The sequence below is a fragment of the Homo sapiens genome, chromosome 14 (genome assembly GCF_000001405.40).
Source record: "Homo sapiens chromosome 14, GRCh38.p14 Primary Assembly".
Taxonomy (NCBI): domain Eukaryota; kingdom Metazoa; phylum Chordata; class Mammalia; order Primates; family Hominidae; genus Homo; species Homo sapiens.
In genome coordinates, this window is record NC_000014.9 from 95,126,228 (window position 1) to 95,153,207 (window position 26,980).

At 36.9% G+C, this 26,980-nt stretch overlaps 1 protein-coding gene and 1 non-coding gene across 34 annotated transcripts in view; both read right to left on the reverse strand.

Annotated features, from left to right (window-relative positions):
- Positions 1–26,980, reverse strand: part of DICER1 (dicer 1, ribonuclease III) — a 71,783-nt gene that overhangs the window by 40,000 nt on the left and 4,803 nt on the right. For 10 of the 33 annotated variants that reach the window (NR_172718.1, NR_172717.1, NM_030621.4 and 7 more), the window contains exons 2-9: positions 15,456–15,521; positions 14,432–14,532; positions 7,088–7,276; positions 6,288–6,450; positions 5,282–5,412; positions 3,831–3,965; positions 3,245–3,405; positions 353–521 (exon numbers count right to left, since the gene is read on the reverse strand). Coding sequence is in view for 26 of the 33 variants with exons in the window: in NM_030621.4 (NP_085124.2) it covers positions 353–521; positions 3,245–3,405; positions 3,831–3,965; positions 5,282–5,412; positions 6,288–6,450; positions 7,088–7,231 (903 nt within the window). In the remaining 7 variants the exon portion in view is untranslated. Of the gene's footprint in view, positions 1–352; positions 522–3,244; positions 3,406–3,830; positions 3,966–5,281; positions 5,413–6,287; positions 6,451–7,087; positions 7,277–8,133; positions 8,277–10,395; positions 10,575–14,431; positions 14,533–15,455; positions 15,522–26,980 lie in introns of those variants that run through there. The other 23 variants (NR_172719.1, NR_172720.1, NR_172716.1 and 20 more) reach the window with 11 other exon arrangements.
- On the reverse strand, positions 11,692–11,759 carry MIR3173 (microRNA 3173). The gene has a single exon (NR_036131.1). It is a non-coding gene; the product is annotated as a microRNA 3173 (primary transcript).

The window sequence follows — 26,980 nt, forward strand, 5'->3', positions numbered from 1 at the left end:
CACACACTAGGAAACTGCGGAAGAATTTGTTTAATTCAAGGGTTTGAACAGGAACTAACTCTTCTGACCAAAAAGAAACAAAAATTGGACTCACTCCTTATACTTAAATAACCATGACATGAATCCTAGCTCAGCTCCTTAAATAGGGGAAGTCTACACTTAATATAAATGTGCACTGGATAACAATGAACTCAACCTAATATGGTATGTTCAATGAAAAATGTCTAAAAAGATTAAGACCTTAAACTAAAATGCAAAGAAAAGAGCCGCATTAAGCATATTTTCATTTCAATATTAAAAATTAACAAAGCTTTCAAAATATAATCACTATACCTACTTGGTATATGCTTACCTGTTTCGAAATTAAAGTAGAATCTCTTTCTTTTGAATGTACAGATATATTACAATCATTGATAAAATTAAGTGCTTCTTCTAATTCCATCAGCAGTCTTTCATAAAGCCCACTTCTGTCAGTAAATGGTCCACAATCCACCACAATCTCACATGGCTGAGAAGTATACCTTTAACATAAGAAACAAAAGGTATCAATACTGCAGTAGTGAGAATGCAATTTAAAAAAAGTTTTTCAAAAAGCAAAAAAAAAAAAAAGGGAATAGATACTAAAAAAAAAAAAAAATGCCAGAATGTTAGCAGTGGGGTGAGATTTTAGGTGTTTAATTATTATTTTTCTATATTACCATATTTCTCAACAGTAAATAATGTATTTTATAAACCAGTAAAGTGTTGTTTAAAAGATGTTTTCAAAAGGCAAGGGGAGAAGAGGGGAAAGAAAAGAATACAAATGAGCATCCACTGCATCCCCAAGCATGATGCTGGGAATTTACATACCTTCTAACTGAATCCACACACAGGGAGGATGACGAAGGAAATGAAGGTTCAAAGACATTACATGACTCTGTCTAAACAAAACTCAGGACTGCCTTCCTCTGAGGGCTCTTTCAGCCAAACCCTACTGCCTCCCTGAACACCTTTTGTTTCATTTCTAAAAAACTCACTACAGCATTATGATCCATTTATAGGTCTAACTCCAAAAAGAAGCTTCCTAGTTTCAGTTTGTATATCTAATCAATATAAAAGGCAGGCTTACAACATGCCTTCCTAAAGTGGTACTCATGTTTATCTGCACAGGTTGAGTGCCCTTATCTGAAAGGCTTGGGACCTGAACTGTTTTGGATTTCCAATATTTTTCAGATTTTGGAATATTTGCATATAAAAAATGAAGTATCTTGAGGATGGGACCCAAGTCTAAACATGAAATTCATTTATGTTTCATATACACCTTACAGCTTGAAGGTAATTTTACACAATATTTTTAAATAATGTTGTGAATGAAACAGGTTTTGGTCGCATTTTGGCTTCAGTTCATCACAAGGTCAGATATGAAATGTTCCACTTGTGGCAGCACACCAGCACTCAAAAGGTTTCAGATTTTGGAGCATTTTGAATTTCGCGTTTTCAGATTAGGGTTGCTCAATCTGTACTACGCTTGCCTGTTAGGTCTCAAGAAATGACCACAGGGGCTGATATTCAAATAATTTTGCCAATAGATTTCATTATTATTAGTTTGTTTTCTTTTGTTTTTTAGGTTTAGACTTCCATCTTTTGCCCCCTTAGGCATTTGTCAGAATGAGGAACAAGGGTGTTCAAAATACTCATGAAACTCAATCACTTCGCAGAAGCGGAAAGAAGAATGGGAAGACTGATCACTGGGAGTTTTATCATTCAATTTATCCATTTCCATATCTGTGTGAATTTTTAATATTTGCAAATATCACTTTTATTTTTAATGTATTTTTAAATCCTCATAAGGAAAACTCCCCCAACTTTCATTCATTTCTAATATCATTCCTTGGGTCTTTTATGCCTTTCATAAAAAATGACCACCAGAATGGCACATAATATCCTAAAAGTACATATGATAATTTTAATAAAAGAAATCTAGCAAAAACATATATACTATAGTTCTTTTTTTCTTAACCCAAAACAGAATTTATACTCAACCAAAGAGTCCTTATTTGCAGAATTAGGTAATGCTTATTCAACAGATTGCTTATCAGTTTTACTTAAACGCTCTACTACTTCTACTTCTCAGAAAACCTTTGGGCAATACAAGTGAAGCACTCTAACTCAGGTCAGACAAAAGCACAAGCACGGCCTTCTACTTCACCACCACAGTGTTGGCTCAAGAAGTCAGACACAGCACGTTCTAGAGGTCGTAAGATTTATATTTCACATGGCATTTGGATACCTAAGTTTGATAGATCCCAAATATTACCTTTCCTTCTCACTCTCCAAAGAAAATTTTCCTCAAATTCTTACTAAATGCCAGGCACACTGCAGATTTTTCTATGTGTCAATGTAATTGATCATCAAAGAATCCCATGAAACCACTGTCAATGCCATTTTACAAGTTCAAGGAAATAAGTGACTCACTCAAGGTCACACAGCTTACAATTAGTGGAGCTAGTATTCAAACCCATGTCTGACTTAACTCCACAACTTGAGAAATCAGTCTCCGCTACTTATTGTAACTGTCCTAAGAACCACCACTAGGTAATCTTTAGCCTTATTTAAGACTACATCTAGTAAGAATGGAAGGCTATTTTGACATAAATCGAATTCATTGCATTTGAAAAGCCATTTTCCTAATTTGTAAAGGCTCCCTTCCACCAACCTAAGTTATGAAGGTTTTGTGTGTGTGTGCGCTTTTCAATGAAACTCAAAATAGTAACCCTCTCAAAAAGAGTCAAACCTAGAAATCACAAACAGCAACTTTCTCTGAAATCCACAACCCATTTTCAAAACAAAGGGGTATTTCCAAACATTTTAAAGTATACTGCTGAATTCTCTAAATAACTTAATGTTCTTTGAAAGCATCATGTAAGACATTCAGGTCAGAACAACAAAGCACACATATTGACAGAAAAAAAATACAAATTTACTGTCAAAGTTCCCAGTCCTTGGCAACAACAGCAAATAGGAAGAGCTGACACATAATCTCTTAAGGCAGAAATGCCTGTCTGCTACTCTCTGTGGAAACAACGTTAGATTCTTGAACTCACAGGTAATGGTACTTATAGAGAATTCTTACTCTTGCCCATTCCTTTTTACTGCCATTTGTTCACTTAAATAGGTACTCTCTGCAAGGTACTACAAAAACACCAAAGACTTAATATTGTTTTCAACTAATCTCATTAAAGCTGAGTCAATCAGAAGTGCATACCTGTCTAAGACCACCAGGTCAGTTGCAGTTTCAGCATTACTCTTAAGAATTTTCTCTAGTTTCTGAATCTTTTCTTCCAATTCCTCTGGATCACATTTCCCATTTAAAATGGAAGCAGTTAGTCCCAAAATGCGAGGACATGATGGACAATTTTCACAGAGCTAACATAATAAAAGATACTGACAGTAAAGACTTCATTTTGCAAGGCTATAACAAGAGAGACATCGCCATATTAAAACATATCAAAATCACTAACAAATAGTAAAAAAGAATTTGTTTGGTGGAAATGCCACTATACCAAGGACAACATAAAATTACTCATAGAATTACTGTAGTTTGTTTAAAAGATCTGTTTTTCAAAAAGGCTCAATTAGATACACTATGAAAATTATATAGAATTTATTATGATGTTTAAAAGTTTATTATAGATTTAAATGAACATTAATTTAATATTCATTCATTCATACACTGCAGCCAAACTCCCAATATTGATAACTAATATTATTGCTTTTGAAATCTAAAAACAAAAATCTGCATTTACTCAATAGTTTACCAAGAATTACTAAGACTTAGGTCTAAAACTTACCTTCATAATTTCTCGATAGGGGTGGTCTAGGATTGCAAGATGACACTCATCAAACACCAAAAGGTTAATGTCTGACAGTGATAAGTAACCATTTTTCAAAACATTCAAGGCGACATAGCAAGTCATAATGAGAACCTAAAATAAAATCAACATCAGTAAACAAACATAGCATTCACTGCCTGGATATACTTACATAAAATCAGATCATAGAGCCATTGTATCATAAGTGAGGATTAAGGAATTCATTAGTCAAAATTAAAACTAAAATACTAAATACATATAATTTTATACATCAGAACTAAGAAGGAAATCAGGAAAGCATGGGAAAAGAGTAGAGAAAAAATATCTTGATAATGGAAAGCATGTCTTGACGACAAATCTAAATTTACTTCAGGTTCTTAGATCCCCACAGCCATATTATGACTGATGAGATCTGTCAATTTAGGCAAATCACAAAACAATTCACACTTTTTATTTTTTTCTGTTGAACTGACATGGTTTTCTGGAAGAAAACTCAGACTAAATGTTATTTTTGTAGCCTATCATTATGTGGATATTTAAGTGCTTTATTAATGAGGACTTATCCCAGTATGTGAAGCACACTAGTAGGCTGGGCTGTTTCAGTTCAGTGAGGAAGCGCCTCTTAATCACTGTGTATCCCCCAATGACCAACACACCAAAAGCCCCAGTACATGCTGGCTACATGGAAACATGTAAGTTAGAGGAGCCTCCAGCACATGCTGGCTGCATGGAAACATTCAGTTAGAGGAAGTCTCCGTCAAAGACCTAAACAGCTCAAGCAAGAAATTTTTCCAGTTTCAAGACATTTAACTCAAGACTAAATTTTTTGAAAGCGCATTATCAGCAAGTTGGAAATAGGTCATAGGAATTTGTGTTTTTCAAGCAAGCAGATCATACTGAAACCTATTTCTTTTCTACAAAGTTAAGAGCAATAAAAATTAGTAATTTATTTGTTTTTTGGGTTTTTTTCTGAGATGGAGTCTCGCTGTCACCCGGGCTGGAGTGCAGTGGCGCGATCTCAGCTCACTGCAAACTCCACCTTCTGGATTCAAGCAATTCTCCTGTCTCAGCCTCCCGAGTACCTAGGACTACTACGCCACCACGCCCGGCTAATTTTTTTATTGTTAGTAGAGACAGGGTTTCACCATATTGGTCAGGCTGGTCTTGAACTCCTGACCTCAGGTGATCCACCCACCTCAGCCTCCCAAAGTGCTGGGATTACAGACGTCAGCCACTGCATCCGGCCTTTATTTGGTTTTAAGGTAAGACTTACAGTAAGATATAGTACATCAGGACTAGCTTCTAGGCTGATTAAGTATAGGAAATTAGTTTTCAAACCTAAATCAGACAACCAAGGCTACAGATCATCTTACAAACCAAGTCAAGAACTTGTAGGGATTTATAAAGTGAAATTTCTCTACAAGTCTTACCTGGTGCTTAGTAAACTCTTGGTTCCATCTCTCTTTTGTCCAAGATGCATTTACTTCTAGGTTTGAGTATTCCCCAACCTTGAGATCTGAATGAGTTCTGACAGCTGACACTTGTTGAGCAACCTGGTTTGCTAATTACAAATATAATACTCCATGTAAATATGAGAAATCTTGCCTAGTTGGCTCTCTGGACTACTAATGATTAACAGTCTACAGAAATCCTTATTATTATATTAGACCTAACCAACAATGTTTTTGATAGCCTCTTTAAAACCACAGTTCCAAGGTTATCCTCCAAAAAAATGGCACCTACTAGACTTGCCACCTCACTTTTTGTCACTCGCTTCAGAGAACCCTACACCACCTTTCTTCTTCATAGCTGATTTCCTCTAAGCCACCCTCCTGTTTTCTTCAATAAAATCAGATGGAAACAAGACAGTCTAACATGTATTTAAAGCAGATAGTTATACTGAGACAACCTAAAAAAAGAGCAGTGACATGAATATATTAGTGCCCTACCAGCTTAGGTTCACATTTTATATTTTTTATTTTTATATATAATCCAAGCATATAAAAATCAGTATTTTAAACTCTTAACTGAATATCTAATTTCTAAGCAGCATGTAACTTTATTAATACAACTGATTAGCAAAATCATAAGTACAAACGTTAATTATCCATAATTAAGCACCTTTTGACATACTTGGTGAAGCTAAAACATCAAGAAAAAAATAAATGTAACAACTTAGATTATGTTCTAATGTACATATGTTCCAATACTTATGTTCCAAAAGCAATCCATTCAAAAGAAATACAGAAGCAGAACATTTAAGAGAAACAGCAAAAAGAAATAGGACAAAACAATTTCTGCCAGAAGAGATTAAATGAGTACATTATCTGTCAAACTTTCTTCAATAATTTAACTTAAGAAACACAGAAAATCTGTTTAAACATAAAATCCCATCCAATTTCCCCTGCACAACTTGATAAAATAATTTTTTATTACCAGAGTTGACCAAGAACACCGTCCTTTTTCCATTTCTGCTGAAGTCTCCCCTGATCTGATAGGACAGCTCTTTAGTGAGTAGTACTGCAATAAATGTCTTCCCTGAGCCAGTGTTTAAACAGACGATGGTATTATGATCCAGAGCTGCTTCAAGCAGTTCAACCTAGAAACATGGTGAAAAAAAAGTTATGCACTTCTTACCTAAGTACAAAATTTATAAAATTGGATTTTATTTTAAATCAGGAAATTTCACTATTCTCTAAAATCGTCCTCCAATAAATTTACAAAAAAAACCCCACAGTCTACGTCTTTATACGAGAATAACTCAGAGGAATAAAATGCCTGCTATATACAGCTGTATTGTGTAAATACGTGTTGAAATGGCATTTACCCTTTCTTTAAGCATTATTTTTGTATACACAGAATACTTCTTTAGAATAACATGAATGACTAAACTTAGAGTAATCGTGGTTCTGCCAGTTCATGGCTGAACATTTTCAAACTAATCTAGGTTCCTACCCAGCTCACTAGGACAGACACATCCAAGTGAATATTAAGGAACAGTGAGGTTTTCAGAGGGGGAAAAAAGAAACTTCACAAATACAACTATCAAATCCAATTACCCAGCAGATGTTAGAAAAGAAAAGGACTATTAAGAATAAAAGTATTTTAAATGAGAAAATTAATCAGAAGTGGGAGGCCTGAAAGGGTAAATGAGTTTTATATAAGTTGTGTCAACTATATGCTAATGTATTCCATTTTAGTGTAGAATGCTCCAGTATTAGTGTTCGCATTAGTACCTGATATTTTCTTGGCGTATAAATGTTATCATGAATTGCTTCTTGTTGCCATGGCAGTCCAAAGAAAGGACCCATTGGTGAGGAAGCAGGGGTCATGAGCTGCAGGCCTGCCATGCTGAGGGGTTGCAAAGCAGGGCTTTTCATTCATCCAGTGTTTCTTTCATTGCATTTTTGTTCTAGCACAGCTTACTACAAAAGGGAAAAAGAATACCATTACACAATCATGCAGGGTTAAAAACAAAGAAAGCACAGAAACAAGAGAAACATCAGAATATCATTCCTATGAGCCATTCAAACTCTTCCTATAATTGTTTTAGCTTTTTCTTGATCTAAGAGGATCATTTTAGGAGTCAAGCATTCTGTACCTTACCCAGTGATTCTATGCCTAGAAATTTGTCTTAAAGAATGAATCAAGCAACTTCACAAAGAGATGTACATGAATATTTGTTGTTGCATTATTACTTAAAAATAAGAAATAACTTTAAAATCTACTGGTAAAAAATAAGCTACATAAATTATGCTATGACTATATAATGGAATACTTTGAATCCATTAAGATTATAGCACATATCTGTAGTTCCTGACACAGAACAATGTCCATAATAAACCTTTAAAAGAAAATATGTACAGCATGATGCCTTGTTAAATATATGTACATATATAAAATATGTAAATATACACATAAATAAATTTTGAACATTCTTTGTATATTCTATGACGTTACTGATAAAATGATAATGTATGGAAGGCACTTAGCACTGTGCCTGCACCACGAAAGATTTAGACACCTGCTAAAATTGTCACTTTATCAACAGCTCACGAACACAGGCCTTTTTCTCAATTGACAACCTATTATAAATGCACAACTATTTAAATATGTATCTTTAAAATTATACATATCCTAGATAAATTAAAACAAATGACACCACTCTGTGAAATAAAAATTTTTTCATGGTATCTAAGCACTTTCTATATTTCATATAGTTTTTCCCACAGATAAATTTGATTATGTAAAATGATAAAAACTGAAACTTTAAAATTCCTACCCTTCAAACAGAGGGTCAGGGATTCAAATATCTGTGTGAAAGCCTACCACTGGCTTTACTGTCAGCAGGATTTCCTCGCCCCACAGAAGGGAATTTCCTCTCTTGCACTGCTTTGGAGTGTTCATTGCTATTACTCTATGAAACTGGAAGAGATAATTCAACTCTGTTACTTAACAACCAAAACTTTTGAATCTCCTGACATGTTAAGTACAACACATGACTTAAGTTGTTGCAACTATTTCAACAAGAAGTCTCAAGTGTAGGGTCTCTTATACAACACAATACTGAATTCTGATTTGAGAAATTAATTCTGTTGACAAGAATTCAACATTCAGCTACCATAAAGTACTATCTCAAGTAAGCAGTGCAGGGGCACCCCACTGCCGGAGCTGAGAGCCCGGTAAGACAGCACGTCTGCGGGCCTGACAGCACAATCACGCTCATCATCTTTCCAGAAGGGAACAAGCGAAGTACCACAGAGTACTTTATGAGATAATATTAACCCATAATTTCCCTGGATCAAAGAGAACTATGTTCTTCACGAAAAATAATGTGCTAATTCTCTCTGAATCAAAGCCCCAACAGCCATTCCTTTTACCCTAGTACCCAAGCCTAGTACCCACTTTCCCAAATTCAGCAAGCCCTCAGGACTTGCAGGCTCATCAGTTAAACTTTTTTCTTAATACAACTGCCAAGAACCCTATGTGGAAGTCTATTTTACCAAAATGTCTGAGATCAGGAGGCCACTCTGAAGGCCCAAGGCTAAGATCTGCGGGTCCCATCACTGACCTTCTCACCTGGAATCCACTCTCGTGATACCTCCACAATTCTCCTTCATGACTACAGACTGCATACTGTCTAGCACTATTCACCCTTAAGCCTGACCCTTCACTTTCACCCAACCCAAATGCTAATCCTAGACTTATTGAAGACATGGTAGAAGGTACCAAGAAACAAGTCTAAGTTCTGATGATGGATGAAAATATAAAACAAAGGAGAAAAGAGGGCCGTGATGTAAATACCCAACACATCTTCTCCTACTTCCAGAAACCAGGTATGTCCAGGAACCAGCAGCACCCCCTCCTCCCTACAACTGTCACCATTTCTTCTCATATAGATAACATTAGTAATAACAATAAATAACTTTAGAAAAATAGTCTAAAAATAAATTAGGAATGTTTTATTTTTTAAAGCTGGGGAGGGTATTCTTCAAAAATGTCAATGCCATAAAATACAAAGAAAAACTATGAAAATGTTCCAGATTAACAAAGACTATATGGATACAAATGGACATAAAGATGGAAATAACAGACAGGCTTATTATCCTTAGTATTACGTCCTCCAGGTTCATCTGCGTTTTTGCAAATGGCAGGATTTCCTTCTTTTTAGCGCTGAATAATATTCCTCCATGTGTGTTTGTGTATCACAATTTCTTTACCCATTCATCTGTTGATGGACACTTAGATTGTTTCAATATTTTGGCTATTATGAATAATGTTGCAAAGAACATAAATAGTGATCTCATTCATAAAGGACATTATTGAATTCATTTTTAAAACGAGATAACAGCAATGTTAAAATTCCCTGAAGTTGATATAACTGACTGTGGCTATGTAAGACAATACTCTTATTGTTAGAAAATATACACTGAAGTATTTAGGGGTAAAGAGCTATGATACATGTAACTTATTCTCAAATGGTACAGAAAAAGAATCTACATGTAGATACACACACACACACACACACACACACACACACACACACAGCTGATAAAGCAAGTGGGGCAAAATGGGTACAGCACATATTTTTGTCCTATTATTCTTGCAACATAAATCTTTTTCTTCATTTTCTGCTCAAATATAAATAAATACCTCATTCCTTTATGTATTCAAAAGCACAAGGACAGGTGATTCTGGCTAGCTCTCAAATACTCCATTTCCTCCACAGGTAATAGCCATGCTCAACTCAGCGTGGTCTCAGTCAAACAGTGGCTCACTGATCAAGGATCCAGTTTCTTTTTTTCTTTTTTTTCACCAAGACTGAGAATCACTCGATCACTCAGGCTGAGTGCAGTGGTGCAATGATGGCTCACTGCAGCCTCAACCTCACAAGTAGCTGGGACCACAGGTGTGCATCACCACGACTGGCTAATTTTTTAATTTTTTGTAGAGACAGGGTCTCACTATGCTGCCTAGGCTCTAGTTTCTTATTTTCTGCCATCTGCCAGTCACCCAAACCTAAGCTGATGGGCATACAACTTACCCCTGGCCAGAGGAATTGGTTCATGCTCATCCAACAGCAAAAAATTTAGGACTTTCATTTGATGGTTGAAGAGAAGCAGTTGTCTTTCTTTCCCTCTAAAGATGACTCATGAAATTATTAGTCCCATTTGCTGCTGCAATTACACTACACAGACCCATGAAAAGATCCAGCCTTAGGATGAAACCAGCACCGCAGATGGCAAAAATAAAGAACCTGGGTCATTGATGACATCAATAAACTGCTGGATCAACCAAACTCAAAGCCCAGCCTAACAATGGACTTTCCAATTAACTGAGCCAACAAATTCCTTAACTATCCAAGCTAGCTTGAGTTGAATATTCTGGGATAAAAGCAAACCAAATGACACTCTCTAAATCACTATTATCACTTCCTGTAAAAGGTATAAGTAGAAAAGAGGAAAGCAAAGAACAGATATGAACAGAAAGGAAAGGAAAAAAAGGAAAGAAGGGAAAGAAGGAAAGGAGGAAAAAGGGAAAGCAAGGGAAAGGGGAAAAGGAAAGAAAAGGGAAAGGAAGAGGAAGGGGAAGGAAAAGGGGAAGGAGAAGGAAAAGGGGAAGGGGAAAGGAAAAAGGGAAGGGGAAAGGAAAGGGGAAGAGGAAGAGAAAGGGGAAATAAAAAGGAAAATGGAAAGGGGAAGGGGAAGGGAAAGGCAAAAGAAAAAGGAAAAGGGAAAGGGGAAGAGGAAAGGGAAAGGGGAAGGGGAAGGGAAAGAGGAAGGAAAAGGGAAGGGGGAAGGGGAAGGAAAAGGTAAAGGGGAAAGGGAAAGAAAAAGGGGAAGGGAATAAGAGGAAGGAAAAGGGGAAGAGGAAAGGGAAAGAAAAAGGGGACAGGAATGGGGATAGGGAAGGGGAAGGGAAAGGGGAAGGGGAAGGAAAAGGGAAAGGGGAAAGGGAAAGAAAAAGGGGAAGGGAATGGAGAAGGGGAAGGGAAAGGGGAAGGGGAAAGGAAAAAAGTCAGGGATCAAAGCAGAAAGCCATCAGGCCACAAATATTGAGATAATGAACAAGTACTGCAGCCAGACCCCAAGCAAGGTGAAAAGCTTTGTTTGTAAGGGAAAAGTCAAGGGTCTTAGACTCCAAAAAACCAGGGATGAGCTCTACCAAGAAGCTTCTAAGACTTTGAAAATGTTCTCCTTATTTGTCCTTAGGAATACTTTTTTTCACTTTCTGCTATCAGTAAATTCTTTTTGAAACTGCAAAGCCGCTTGTTTCGGAAACAAATTGAGGAAAAATCTGGACAGTTCTTCCTCGGCACAAGAGAGGGAGAGAGATCGTTTCCCTGGCCTGCCTATTTCCTCCTTTGTTCTCATAAAATCACAAAGGAGAAAACAGGCAGGGCAGGGAAGCTGGCCCAAGACCAACAAAGACTCAATTCTATCTGGAAAATAAGCCCTAGACCTCCAATGTTTCTCAGGCCCGGTTTCACCTCAAGACACCAACCTCACTCAAGTATGTGGATCCTATTCCTACAAACCAGCAGGTAAAGAGCTTGGAAAAGGAGGAGTTGCAAATTCACTCAGTGTCCAGGTTCTGTTCCTGGCATTTCAAAGGACAGAGATTTTTTTTTTTTCTTAGCAAACACAACATTTCTCATAAATGCCCTACCCCACCCTAAAACTTTCACAGGGTTTAGAAAAAAATGATAGGTAGCTGGTTTCTAAGAATCAATCTGAGAAAAAAAGTGGAAAAAAAAAACAGAGAAATGAAAGGTTACATTTATCAACATTTAGGCTCTAAATAAAGAGAAAATAGATACATTATATAGTAAAAATAAATATCAAACAATAAAGAAATACAGAAATAACATCTCTAACCAAAAATACCTGAAAAGATTAAGGTTTCTATCAGCTCTCACAAAAAACCATGTGTAAGAAAATAATACAAACTACTGGAATGGAATTCATTAAAAAGTTGATATTTAAAAAGGAAATTAAGCAAAGCACTACACTCTGTGATATCTAGTCCCAAATGTACTCTGAAAAGTACTGCCCCCACTCATGACTGCCTGACTTCTGCCGACCTGTAACCTTACGTTCAGATTATTCACCCAGCTTCTCAGTAAACTATCGCAAGAACAAAAAACCAAACACCGCATATTCTCACTCATAGGTGGGAATTGAACAATGAGATCACATGGACACAGGAAGGGGAATATCACACTCTGGGGACTGTGGTGGGGTCGGGGGAGGGGGGAGGGATAGCATTGGGAGATATACCTAATGCTAGATGACACATTAGTGGGTGCAGCGCACCAGCATGGCACATGTATACATATGTAACTAACCTGCACAATGTGCACATGTACCCTAAAACTTAGAGTATAATAAAAAAAATAAAAATAAATAAAAAAATAAAAAAAAAAAAAAAAGAATGCTATCCTATTGCTGCCTCATCACCATTCACCAGCAATTTCCACAACAGAAGAGTAATCCCTGTTGGCTGAAAGCCTATAGCATATTATGCATCCTCCCTGACTGACCAACTGAAAGTGTTTAATCCTGTATTTCAATCCTATGTGCTCAATCCAAGTGATCCTAGCAGTTATACTACAGAGGCTTGGGGTATAGTCTTAATCCATAAAATGTACTTCTGTAATTTTATATGAATTCTTATTTAGAAAATTTCTCTTAAAACTCTGTTCTCACTAAAATATGACCAATTAGACTAGAATTTCCTTGGATATAGGAGCTGCATATCTTACCCTTACCTGTATTACCCACTGTACAGAACCACATCCAGGACATGGTAAACAAAAACTGCAGGTTGTTAGAATGAAAACAATGTCCACCTGAGTGACATTAAAACCTCAAACAGCTTCTATTTGCCTTTCATAATTTCTATCACAGATTTTTAGAGCTATTCATAGACACACATACACAACATACATGTTATTCTTTTACTGGAGCACAGCTCCATAAGAACAAGACATGAGTCTCATTCTTTGCACCTCTTAAATTTCCTGCTACAATGTTCTGTATATACATTTAAGTAAATATTTGACAAACTGAATTAGAGACTCATGAATGTCCACACAATAATATACAGAACAGAATCATGGATGGATCAAGATATATTTCTATTCGGTTTGGAAACACACATCTATCCCACTCCTACCAGCCCTGAGAGATGAGTGCAGGAGAGAGGATGTACAAGGACATAAAGAACAACAATTTAACCCTTCCAATTATATTTTCCATAAGGTTACAATGTTTAAATTAATTTTCATTCATTTAGTGGACAATAACTGGCCCCAGTAATGCACTTTCTATTTAGGGAAAACAAATCCAAGACTTAAAATTCCAACAGGTAATCTGTAATATAAAAACAGGAAAACCTATAATTTTGCCAATTTTTACTTTCTTGGCATGTTTAAACAGATTTTTTAAACTTGGCCTTAATGAAAAGATCTGAATCTCTGCTGGCAGGTAAAGGTTCTAGTTTCACAGATAAACTGGCTACCATTAACTGCTTTTGCAGAGCCAAAATAACTCCACATGACTGTTTTTCAACTATAGATTTTAAATTTCTGGTCAAACAACTTACCCTCATGAAACTAGTGAGGTTGTTTCATAGTTTCCACATATTATGCACTTAGAAATACAGTCATGCACCCAATAACAATGTTTTAGAGACTGACCCCGTATAAGACTATGGTCTCGTAAGATTATGATACTGTATTTTTACTGTACCTTTTCTATGCTTAGGTATATTTAGATATACAAATACCACTGTGTCACAACGGCCTACAGTATTCAATATAGTAACATGGTGTACAGGTTAGTAGCCTAGGAACAAAAGGTCATACCATATAGCCTAGGTGTATAATAGGCTATACCATGTAGGTTTATGTTAATTAAGTACACTCTATGATGTTCACACAATGACAAAATCGCCTAACAATGCATTTCTCAGAAGATATCCAGTCATTAAGCAATGCATGACTGTAATTTAGCAAAAGACAAGAAAGACAAGAATAAACTCTCTTCCTCTTTCCACATGATGAATCACAGATTTACCGTTTTAATGTTTGAGATCTCTGTGTTGCTCTTGTCTGAACTGCATTTTGACATTGTGATAGCAGTTTATTGGAAAATCACAGCATGCCCAAGCTTCTGCTCTAAAAATAAATGCAAAAATAGCCAAGTTTAAGATTCCTGTAAACTGAACAGAAACACATCTACAAGAGAGCCCTACTGATATGAAGAGTTGAATAAAAGGCCATTATTTTGAATTAAATTTTAAACAAAAGGCATTTAGATTATTTTAGGATACCAAGGCTTACCCTAAAACAAAGAACAAGAGAATAAGCTACAATAGCATGCCTAATTCCCAGAGATCTGGGAGAAATAAAGAGCTAGAGCAAAGTTCAAAAAAAGATTTCAAAGCTAATATAAGGAAATCAAAGTAAATAAAGTCTAAAGATGGTATTTTATAGAAAAATGAAAAAAATAGCTATTATTTCCTAAATTCACATAAACGAAAGAAATAAAGAAGGTCACCAGAAGACGTACTTGGCTGAGAAATCCAAATAACCCAGTAGTAACTCTTTAACACAGGTATGAAATCCATCAGCAATTCCAATTTCCCAAAATGAAATTAAAAACACAAAAGGACAGTTACATCTACACTATACATTTTTATAGAATTAGTTTATAAATAAAATAATTCAAGAACACTGTTAATGTTAATGTCGGGCATAAATTTAAATTTGGGGTGGCTCTCTAAAAGAGATTATAAATCAAAAACTAAGAAAGCATAAAATGTAGATATAAAAAGTTTAATTTGATCAACAAATACTGATTTTGTTAGATCTGACATCAGACTTGGTTTGCGCTCAGGTCTGAGCCTTCTGCAATGCCTCCACTACCATAAGCTCAGGAAAAACAAATTGGCAGTGGCCTCTTTTTACTACTTCCAGTCCTTTAAAAGACATTCTCATGGAGGTTAAAGTTCTCATTTCATACACAAATTTGTTTTGCTAAGAAGTCAACAAAGCAGACTGGGGCAACCTTATCACTACTTTGGCATATACATATTTACCTCAAAATGCTGATTCTAAGTTCTTTCAGAGTTTCCAAGTCTGTATTAATTCATACCCTAGGTAACCTAAAAGCAATCAGAGAGAAATTTTAGAAGAGACAACTCATTTTTTAAAACGAACTTTAAGAGATGTTCTACTTTTTAAGATCCCTCATAAAATTCTTTATCTGTTGGGCAACAAGACAATGCATGTCTAAAAGAACTGCCCTTTAAAATTGGGATATTATGTTCTAATACAGCCAGGAAAAACAACTTGTTAGTACAATCCAATTAGATAGAAGGGATAACTCTTGGCATTAAATTACCTTTTCCCTCAGTAAAACTTGGCTTTAAAAATACTTAAACACTATGATAAATCAGTACCATGCTGTATATGAGCATATCTTCCTATCTCCCAATATGTCAGTGCTTATGTTTTCATTTTTCTTTTTGTTTTTTATTTTTTTTTTCTATTTTGTAGAGCTGGGGCCACCCCATGTTTCCCAGGCTGGTCTCGAACTCCTGGGCTCAAGTGATCCTCCCACCGTGGCCTCCCAAAGTGCTGTAGTCCCAAAAGATTACCCAAATACCACTGCATTACAACTGCCTACAGTACTCAGTACAGTAACATGCTGTATTGAATACTGCAGATTACAGGTGTGAGCCACTGCAACCAGCCAAATTTGTGTTTTCTAAGGCTACCTCAGACTTCATTTAATTTTTAATTTCATTCTATACCGCCACCTAGTAGGATGCAAAGACCACGCACACCAACATGTCCTGCTGTGTCACCCTCTAGAGATGATTTCCAATTCAGACTCACCTCATTCCTAGAAATGCCATAATCAAATTACTAAGTTGATAATCCTTTAAAATTCAATGTCACCCAACTATTACAAAATTATTGCTAAGTTATCCACATTATTTCCATTGATAATTCCATACATACATTAGAAAGGTAATATGTCAAGTATAATAGCAACTTATTTTATACTGGTAATTCAAAGCTAATAGGTCATTTTCTCATTTTAATTGATCACTGTGAAGTAAAGTACAAACCTGCAAAATCCTGTTTCATAGGCCCCTTTAAGATAACTCTGAAACAGGCACGCCACATATCAGACAGTCAAGTTTTAGTACAAACTAGCAAACTTAATCCACATTAGCAACTAAATGCAGTAACGAGGCTGTATCCTTTCACAGGCTAGTAGCAAGAAAGAGCTAACCATTCAGATCTGAAGCCTAAAGGCACCTAGAACTTTCTGCTGTGAATTTTCAAAATTGGTGACAAAATAATTTCAACTCATCCATGTTATTATGCATCACAGATTCTGACATTATTAACTTTGCAAATATTACCATCCAGATTTCATTCCTACTCTCACAAAGCCCAAAATGCATGACTTCTATAAAGTTCCAGGATAAACAAATGGAAAAAAACCACAATATAGTGACATTAAAACAGTATAAGCAATACTCATGGTAAGCTAACAGAGAAAACTAAAAAAATGTATGAAGCACTTTAAGTTCCTAGTAACAAAAGTGCTATGTGAGATACAAGGCATTATTTTAACTGCAATCACGCCTACATCACTTAGGACAGCCATGGTATAGATACAAAATACTGACTGTTGACGTAAGGACAAATACAAATTAAAAATAAGAGGCATAGTTCTCCCTGCTGAAAATAAAAGGGAAGAGGTCCCTTTCCCCTTTTCTTTTCCAGATTTTATTTCTCCCTCCCTTTCAATGTATATAAATTTAAGTCTCTAGTCTTATAACTTGGCTATGTTTCCTAAGGACCTGAAAGCCATCTCTGAAATGGGAAATAACACTCAATCGCCTGGTTTCCTAGGAGGAGATGGGCCTAATCTGTCACCTGACTCCAAAATGTAAAACCTACCTCTAGTCATAAAAATGTGAAAAAAAATTAGCAATTTTATCTTGAAAATATGGATGTAATGGATTGTAACCATTTAGTTACATAAAACAGTAAGATTTCTTTCTGTCTTTGCCATCCCTTTAGTGACTGCCTGTGATGGGCACAGCAGTCTGATTTAATGTTCATTCAATAATAACATTGTTTTCTTTCTTTTCTACCTTTGTGGAGCAATTTTCTGGGTTGGGAGATTTTGGTTTTAATTGTATTTCCCTAACATTAGCTTTTTTATTTTTTAAATATAGCCCAAATCTCAAACAGTATTCATACCAAATAATAAAATTCCATTTCTTAGAACTTAAATACTGGAGAAGCCCTAAAATATGCTGGCCAACTACATGGAGGAATTTTTAAAAATGAAAATGAAAGTGGGCAAACAGCCACACTGAAAATGAATCCACACATAGAATCCAAGTTGTTTGAAAACAACTCCTACCTACTTCCCTTTTCTAAGTTGTAGAGCAGAAAAAGTCTCAGATGTTTTTAGCTAACTTAATAAGCAAATTGATGCTCTTGCCTCTTAATATACACATTTATATTTATACATATACTTATATATACATATAAACATGTATTTAATGGACGTATTTGCCTCAAAACACTGATTCTGAGTTTTCAGTGACATCTATACACTGTCACTCCCTTCTCATGTATACCCGCCTATGCAGGAGGCACTGAGTAAGGCAACTGGGGATATAGGAAGCAGCCTCTTTTTTTTTTCCTTTGTACCTATCTTTCTTTTAAAAATTATCTTAATGCCAGCAAGCAGTTCAGTGTCAGAATACCAAGGTTTAAATCCAGACTCCACTACCTCGCTAACATTGTTTACTTGCCTGTAAAACAGAAACACCTGACTATTACGAGGATTACACAAGATCTTAAACTTAGTAGAGAGAAAATAAAATGCTTGGAACATACAAAATCCATATCATACAAAATATCTCTACCTAGAACCATTTTTTTTAGCATAATTCTTAAACTCTTAAAATTTTATGAAACCCTTAAAGAAAACCTAAAATGTTTCATTAACCGTAAGATTCGGCATAGAAAATGCATTCTCATATAATGCATAGAAGATTTTATACAGAATTTATAGCCAGATTAACCTGAAAAACCACAAACTCCTGAATGGGGATCAGGAGATGCCACCCCCAACTATGCCACTTTGGTATATTATTTTGAGCTGAAAGCAATTAAGAATCAACAGATTCAGGAAAAGTTCTATGCCTTCCCTTTTTCTACTTAAGAGTAAGGCATAAACTCCCCCTTCTTCTACACCAGGAAGAAAAGAACAATCCTTATCACAGCACAGAGAGATGGCACCAAGATGAATCTGCATAAACAAACCTTAATAAATAAACCTTTTCTACCAATGGTTTCCTCCATACACCGTCTAATCACCTTCCCACAGTTTATCAACCCTAGAAATCCAAACATCCCCTCCTTTGTCCTTCCACAATTTATCACTCTTTGTTAAGATGGTATATGAGCCTCTAAATCTAAGTGTTTCTTTGGGATTTTACATCTTTTTCTTTGATGCCCCTGTGCGTGCAAAAATATTAACATCAATACAAGCTGTAGACCTCTTCCCCTGTTAATGTCTTTTGTTAGTTTAATTCACAGATCCCAGCAATAGAGCCTAAGTGGGTGGAGGAAAAGTTTTCCTCCCCTACATTCCAAACAAGCTAGCCATTATGCATTTACATTAAGATGAAAATCAATGCAATTAAATCACAAAATATGGTACCTAACGTAAAGTAAATTTAAACAGTTTTGTATTCACTAGTTCTCTTGAAAAACAAACAAAAAATACTGTGTACTACTTACTGGCTGGACAGACATCACTGAAAACATTATTTCACTGAACTGTTTCTTAGGCAATAAAATGTTTCACAGAGAAACAAGAAATAGTAATAATCATGGATATTTCAAAAATATAAAAAAGAAATCAAAAGAAAATATCCAACATATCCACAGTATATAAAACAAGTATTTCAAGGATTTATCAACTATTATTTAGTGAATATAGACTATGAAAAGATTAAGGTCAAACCAAGGATTAAGAGACTAAAGAGAAAAAAAAAACAATAATTTCAAGAATTTAAACACTGGTATCTTTGCATATTTAAATACAAAACACAAGAACTATTTATATTTTTACTTTTAATTGTCATTTGTCTTTTTAAAAAGTTTTTTTTTTAGTTTACCCTAACACTATGGGTATGAACTTTACATTTCTGTCATTCTTAATTAAAATTCGCTGCACATTAACCTAGTCATTACCACACACACAAAAAAAACTTCATATAGAAACGCTCCCTTCATCATTACCATTTATAAGAGCAAAGAAACACTCCCCGCCACCAATTTACATGTCTAACAATGATTGAGGAAATGGTTTGGTAAACCCTGGTTCATTTTACATGGTGAAGTTCAATTCAGCCATTTAAAATGGTAAGTTTATAATGAACAAAAATGCTTATGTTGAGAGCAGCAGCAGGCAGACAAATGCCTAGGCAGACAGGGGTAGGTCCCCAGTGAAACCCCACCTTCAAATCAAAGACAGTTTAAAGCCTGAAGGTCGAGATACACAGTATTTTTTGTTTGTTTTTCAAGAGAACTACAAGTCCCAGATAAATCCAGGGACCGGATTGAGAACCTGTCTTGCCATTTGGCACACTTTCCTCTGATTGATCCTCACCCTTCACCTATCTTACATATACCTACACTTCCCTAATTGGTTTCTTACACTGTCAAGCCCACCTTTGAGTGGTGCTTTTAACTTTTTTTTGCATACTCACAAACCAATCAGCACACACTCCCCTATTCTGAGCCTGTAAAAGCCCAGGACCCAGCCACACTGGGGGAAAAACCACACAACTTCGGGTGGGGAACCACCCCCGCATCCCCTTTCTGCTGAGAACTGTTTCATTGCTCAATAAAATTTACGTCTGCCTTCCTCACCCTTCAGTTGTCAGCATATCCTCATTCTTCTTGGATGCAGAACAAGAACTCAGGAACCGCCAAACGTGGGTATGAGCCGTAACACAGGTAGGCTGGGGCATGACTGGCCCAGCCACTAGCTGAGCCAGAGCACAAGCCAGGTGTGGCACAGGCAGGCCAAGTGGGAGGGTAGCATAGCCAAGCAAGGCCCGGACACGGGGGTCACCAGCCAAAGGTCCCCAGCTGGTAAAGTGACTGAGAAAAATCCTGTGTAAATGGCTTTAAATGAAAAAGTAGAACACTTTTATTTACAGTGAGACTATAATTATGTCTTAGTTAAAAACTAAAGGAAAGGAAAAAGGGAGGGAGTGAGGAAGGCTAAGAAGGAAAAGGAAGTGAGAAAGGATAAGAAGGAAAAGGAAGAGAGGAAGGAGGTGAGAGAAAATTAGTTTACCCAAAAATTAATGATGAATTACTTGGATGAGTATTTTTCCTTTAAACTTTTCAGCATTTTAAATTTCCTACAACTTGAACACACAGAATTGGGAATTGGAAAACAAACTTTCAAACTGTGGATGATTTGTGTGACGATAAGCTAGAGACATACAATTCTGTTTTAGGTATTGAAAACATCCTCCCAGCCGTGTGCAGTGGTTCACACCCATAATCCCAGCAATTTGGGAGGCCAAGGTGGGCAGATCACGTGAGCCCAGGAATTCTGAGACCAACCTGGGAAACATGGCAAAACCCCATCTCTACTAAAAATATAAAAATTAGCCAGGTGTGGTGGCATGTGCCTGTAGTCCCAACTCCTCAGGAGGCTGAGGCGGAAGAATCACCTGAGCCTGGGGGGCTGCAGTGAGCCATGATCACACCACTGCACTCCAGAGTAAGACCCTGTCTCTAGAATGAATGAATTAATGAGTAAAAACCTCCCCCGTTAAGGCACAAAATGTGGTAACATTTACCTGAATATCTGAGTGGGAAAAAACACACACAAACTGTTTTTCCTTTGTTCTCACACACCACATAAAATTTCTGTGACCAAATGTGTGGGGTTTCTCCCCAACAACAAGCAAGCCATCAATTCTGCAGCGGACACCAGCTGGGTGTCTTCTATTAATGACTGAATTCCAACATTATCTACCTGGAGATAGCATCAGATCCCACAGGTTGAGGGCTCCAGTCCTCAAGACCTCCCCCACCCTTCCGTGTCAATTGCAAACCTCAGGTTATTTTTTGCCCGTGCTCCCGACCAATCAGTTAACTGGGGTTCCCACAACGCCCTCCTGGGATTTAACTTGCTAGACCAGCTCACAGTCCTTGGGGAAAAACTTACTTATGTTTACCAGTTTATTATAAAGGATATTACAGGCTGGGTGCAGTGGCACACGCCTGTAATCCTAGCACTTTGGAAGGCCAAGATGGGAGGATCGCTTGAGGCCAGCAGTTCGAGACCGGCCTGGTCAACACAGCGAGAGTCCATCTCAATAAAAATAAGTAAATTAATTAGGTAAAGGATATTACAAAGATCCAGATGAAGACATGCACAGGGTTAGGTATGGAGAAGGGGTATAGAGCTTCCAAGCCCTCCCAGAGCAAACTGCCCTCCAGGAACCTCCATGTGTTCAACTATCCAGAAGCTTTCCAAACTCTGTCCTTCAGGGTTTTTATGAAGACTCATTACCTGGGCATGATTAACCTTCAGCCCCTCTTCCCTCCCCAGAGGTTGGAGGGTGGGTCTGAGTCCAAACCTCTAATCATGCCTTAGTCTTCCCAGTAACCAGCCCCCATTTTGAAGCTACCAGGAGCTACCGGCCACCAGTCGATCATTAGCATACAAAAACACATCACTTTGGAGATTCTAAGGATTTCAAGCCTTGTATGCCTAAGAATAGGGTAGAGGACAGACCAAATATATATTTTACAGTATCATAGTACCTACAATTTAAACCACAAATTCATTAGCCTTCTTTTCATGCATTACTGTATCTGAACCAAATAAATTTCTGGGTTTCTCTAAATCTCTAACATAAATATGTTATGTTTAGATTTCAATATAATCATGCCTAAAATTAGATTGGTCCAAAATTGAAGTGGAACACAGGTCAAATACCATCTTAACAAATTCCACCCATCAAAGATCTCCATATAAGAAGTGTCTCCAGGCTGCAAGCCAAAGGTCCGCTTACTTCTTGGAGTACTTCTCAGAAAGATGACATTTCAACACATCAAAACAGCACAGATACCCACCCCTCCCCTTCAAGTTACCTATAATGACATTTGTCCTACAGTTTTGTTTCAAGAGACATAAATACTTAACACATCACTAGCTTTCAAGGTGAGTTTTAAGGTTCATATTTGATTCCAAGTTTCTGTACTTTACTCTTTTTTTTTATTTTTTATTTGGAGACAGGGTCTCACTCTGTCTATTTACAGGCACCATCAGAGCACATTACAGCCTTGAACTCCTGGGCTCAAGTGATCCTGCCATCTCAGCCTCCTGAGCAGCTGAGACTACAGGCACATACTTTACTCTTAACACTGTGCAACGAGTGCTAGAATTTTATTCAATTCACGACTACCCTCTACCTTTACACCAAGAAAGAGCATCCATTGGGAAAAAGGAGCCACAATTTTCTCTTTGTCAAGCTGTTTTAAGATATATAACATGAATACTTAAATACTAAAGGGAGGTCAATCCAGAGACAAAATGAACATAAGAGACTACTGAGTTAAGATGGATGTTTATTGAGACAGGAAAGCAAATATATTAAAAGGTCCAGGCAAGAGTGTGACGCACTACATCATCATAGCTTCTGCGCAACATCTCATGTTATCTGCCTTTCCCGTAACACCAAAACAAGTGTGTACCAACAGAGTTCGCCACCTCTCACGAACCCCACCCCACAACTTTCCCTAAAAACCTCTATCACTTTAGTCCCCTCCCCTCTCATTTAGCACACATGGGCTAGCTACAACACCCAAATCATCACGGGCTTCATTATATTACTGCCCCATATATTAGCTGTTATTGCCATCTCCCTCAAGAGTATTAAGATCTTTGAAAGATAATCTCATACTATACTCACATTCATATTACATAGTTCATGATTTGTTTGATTTTCACGTTACTGTAAATTTGTAATGACTAGGTAGTTTGGAATGTAGGAAAGTAAATATCCATGAATAATTTTTTATTAATTAATTCGATGTTGAGAATAAGCTTTATTGATCTTAACTATTGAATTAAAGCAGCTTTTTATAGGTCAAATATAAAACTCAAATTAGACACTTTTAAATTAAAAGACTTTAAACAACCCAAATTATTTCAACAAGCTTAACATCCTCGATCTTGGCACCCAAGTCCAAAAGAATAATTCGAGGCTAACTAGAAACTGTCAAAGCTAGAGAGGTATCAGTTAGTGCAATGATAATTTTGGTATCATCTGACTATACCCATCCTAGTTTTCTCAGTTAACTTCCAACCACTACAAAATTCTCTTCCATATTAATGCAAACTAATCTGACTCCAACCTTGAAGATGTTTCAGAAACAATTTTAAAGTTCTTAAAGTTACAGGTGCAACTGGGAAAACCCAACTCAAGACAGTCTTATTTCTCAACTTAGTTTCTCATTTTACAAACTGTATTTTGTAGGCCGGGCACGGTGGCTCATGCCTGCAATCCCAGCACTTTGGGAGGCAGAGACAGGTGAATCACTTGAGGTCAGGAGTTCGAGACCAGCTTGGCTAACATGGTGAAACCCCGTCTCCACTTAAAAAATACAAAAATTAGCTCAATATAGTGGCTTGCACCTGTAGTCCCAGCTACTCAGGAGGCTGACACAGGAGAATCGCTTGAACCCAGGAGCCAGAGGTTGCAGTAAGCTAAGATCACGCCACTGCACCCCAGCCTGAGAGACAGAGCAAGACTCAGCATTAACAACAACAAAAAAGAAATCGTATTTTGTTAGGTTTAAAATTCAGGCGAAACTCTACTGAATGTCAACTAATAAATGTAGAAGGAATGACAGAAAAGTCACCATTTTTAACCATCACATTAGTGATTGAAGCAAGGATCATTAATGGATGCTAAAACCATTGGGTGAAGGTTACTAAAGAATATTTACATAGCCTGAAAGCTTTTCTGCAGATTACCTACTAATTACAAATGAAAACTAGTATTTTTATTCAGTGGAAAAACCAGATAGATACCCCTTTAATCCAAGTGACAAAGCTAAGATCACCAGTATTAGGACAAACTGACAACACATACCTAATGTAGTTTTCCTACTGAAAGTACAAAACTTGAATCTATTTTTGCCGGGGGAAAGAGGGGAACAGAGTCTCGCTCTGTTGCCCAGACTGGAGTGCAGTGGCACAATTATAGCTCACTGCTACCTCAAACTCTTAGGTTCTAGAGATCCTCCTGCCTTGGCCTCCTAAAGTGCTGAGATTACAGGAGTGAGCCACTGTGCCCAGCTGAAACCTGAATCTAATCATAAGGAAACATAAAACCTAACTTGAGGTTTATTTTACAAAACACTTGGCTTTATACACTGAATTGAAGTATGATTTCAAGGATGATGTGTTAATTCATGCATAGCAGATGAAGAATGTGTTATTTAGGGAAAGTTAAGAGACGTTTAAGGCACTGTTACATTTGGTATCACTACTACAGAGACCAACTAAGATAGCTGAACCAGTATAGATAATCCTCCTCGAAAACTTGTCTGTAAAATATTGTTCTCAAGCCCTCTTTTCCTTCATCCTCCATTATATTACTAGACCATACATTTCAATATTGATAATTTGGGGGCTCACAATATAATCTAATCACATTAAGACTATTGCATGTTAAAATTTTCTCTAATACACGTATTTAAAAGAAAAATATTACATTAATTTTATCAAATGCTAGTTATGTACCATGAGAGTTTAAGAAACTCCTTTTTTTTCTCAAAACCTCAAGAGGCAAACACCACTACGACAGTTTATAGACAAGGAAGCTGAGACTCAAGAGACGTTGCCATATGCCCAGTGCTCATCGGCTATAAAGTCGAAGAATCAGGATTTGAACCCTGGTCTCTCTGACGCCAAACACTTGCTCTTAAGCATCCCTACAAAGCTATGATAAAACATTAATATTTAACTCTGCAAAGTGGAAAGAACTTAAAATACCATGAATCAGAGCAACTGACAGTGATGGCTGGGCAGCAGGATGCATAAGAGGCGGACAGGCTGTGAGTTCATCATGTTAATCTCACCTCCCAGGATGTTACCAAAAGAGGAAAGACAGAAATCCTGCAATCTCGAAACATCTCAGAGGACTAAATACGACTAAATACGACTACTACCTTTCTTTTTCCCTTCAAACAGGGTCATTTAACTTCTTAATCAAAGAACCTTCCTACATCATGTCAAAGATCAGTTTTTAAACTAAGAGTCTTCTCTCATTATTCAAGTTCTCTAAGTACAACCGGTTTGTTTTCTTAAAATTCTGAACTGGTTAACAGACCTCATTTTCTAATCCTCAAGAATTGTTCAAATGTGTTGTTAAAACCCCTGCTTTATGGCATACATTGAGCTGTCAAAGAACGAACAAGCACAACAGAGTTAGTCTGTGCCAACAAGGAGAAAGTCTGCAATACAGTTAAACTCCAATTTTGACGGCGATTTTCTCCCACGATTCTTAACACTTCCCTCAGTCTGCAATGTTTCTGTGCACATAATCATACGTACCTCACAAAGCAAAAAGGACCAAGTAGCATGATTTGTCCAAAAGCAGAATAGTAATAATCTTTTTAAAAGCCTTAATATGCAAGCAATATTCTTCCCCACAAAACTGTGTTAGCTTCTAAATACTTCAAAAAGTATTATAAATTAACTTACTCACTCAACAAATCGGAGTGTCTCCTATATGTCAAGCACCATGTCTGGTAATGAACATGCATGAAGAATCTAATCCTTACTATTCCATAAACCTTAACACAACCAAGAACATGTAATGCTGTTATAAGCCTAAAAAACAAAAAGAAAAAACTCTAAGGCCAAACTTAAGCCTGTCATGTCTTACTTCTAGTAACAGTCTTACTGACATCCTCAGAGAATGTTTTGTAGCATCTTCTTAGTCACTTATTTAAAATGCATATTGAGGTAACTGCATGTTAAAGGAGTACCAACAATTCATTGACAATTTTAGATGAGGAAGCCATTTTGCACTCAGAATTATTTTAACAAAGGCTTTATTACATAACTGAAAATGTCAATTTCACCAGCTACATCTCAAAAATAATCTTTTTCTTTCTGTATTAATTCATCAAGTATACACCACGATACAACCAGTCTTACTTTTTAGACCAACACACGTTCCTAAAGACTGGGTGAGAGGGCTGGGCACGGTGGCTCACACCTGTAATCCCAGCACTTTGGGAGGCCGAGACGGGAGGATCACGAGGTCAGGAGATCAAGACCATCCTGGCTAAACACGGTGAAACCTCATCTCTACTAAAAATACAAAAAATTAGCAGGGTGTGGTGGCGGGCACCTGTAGTCCCAGCTACTCGGGAGGCTGAGGCAGGAGAATGGCATGAGCCCAGGAGGCGGAGCTTGCCGTGAGCTGAGATCGCACCACTGCACTCCAGCCTGGGCAACGTAGTGAGA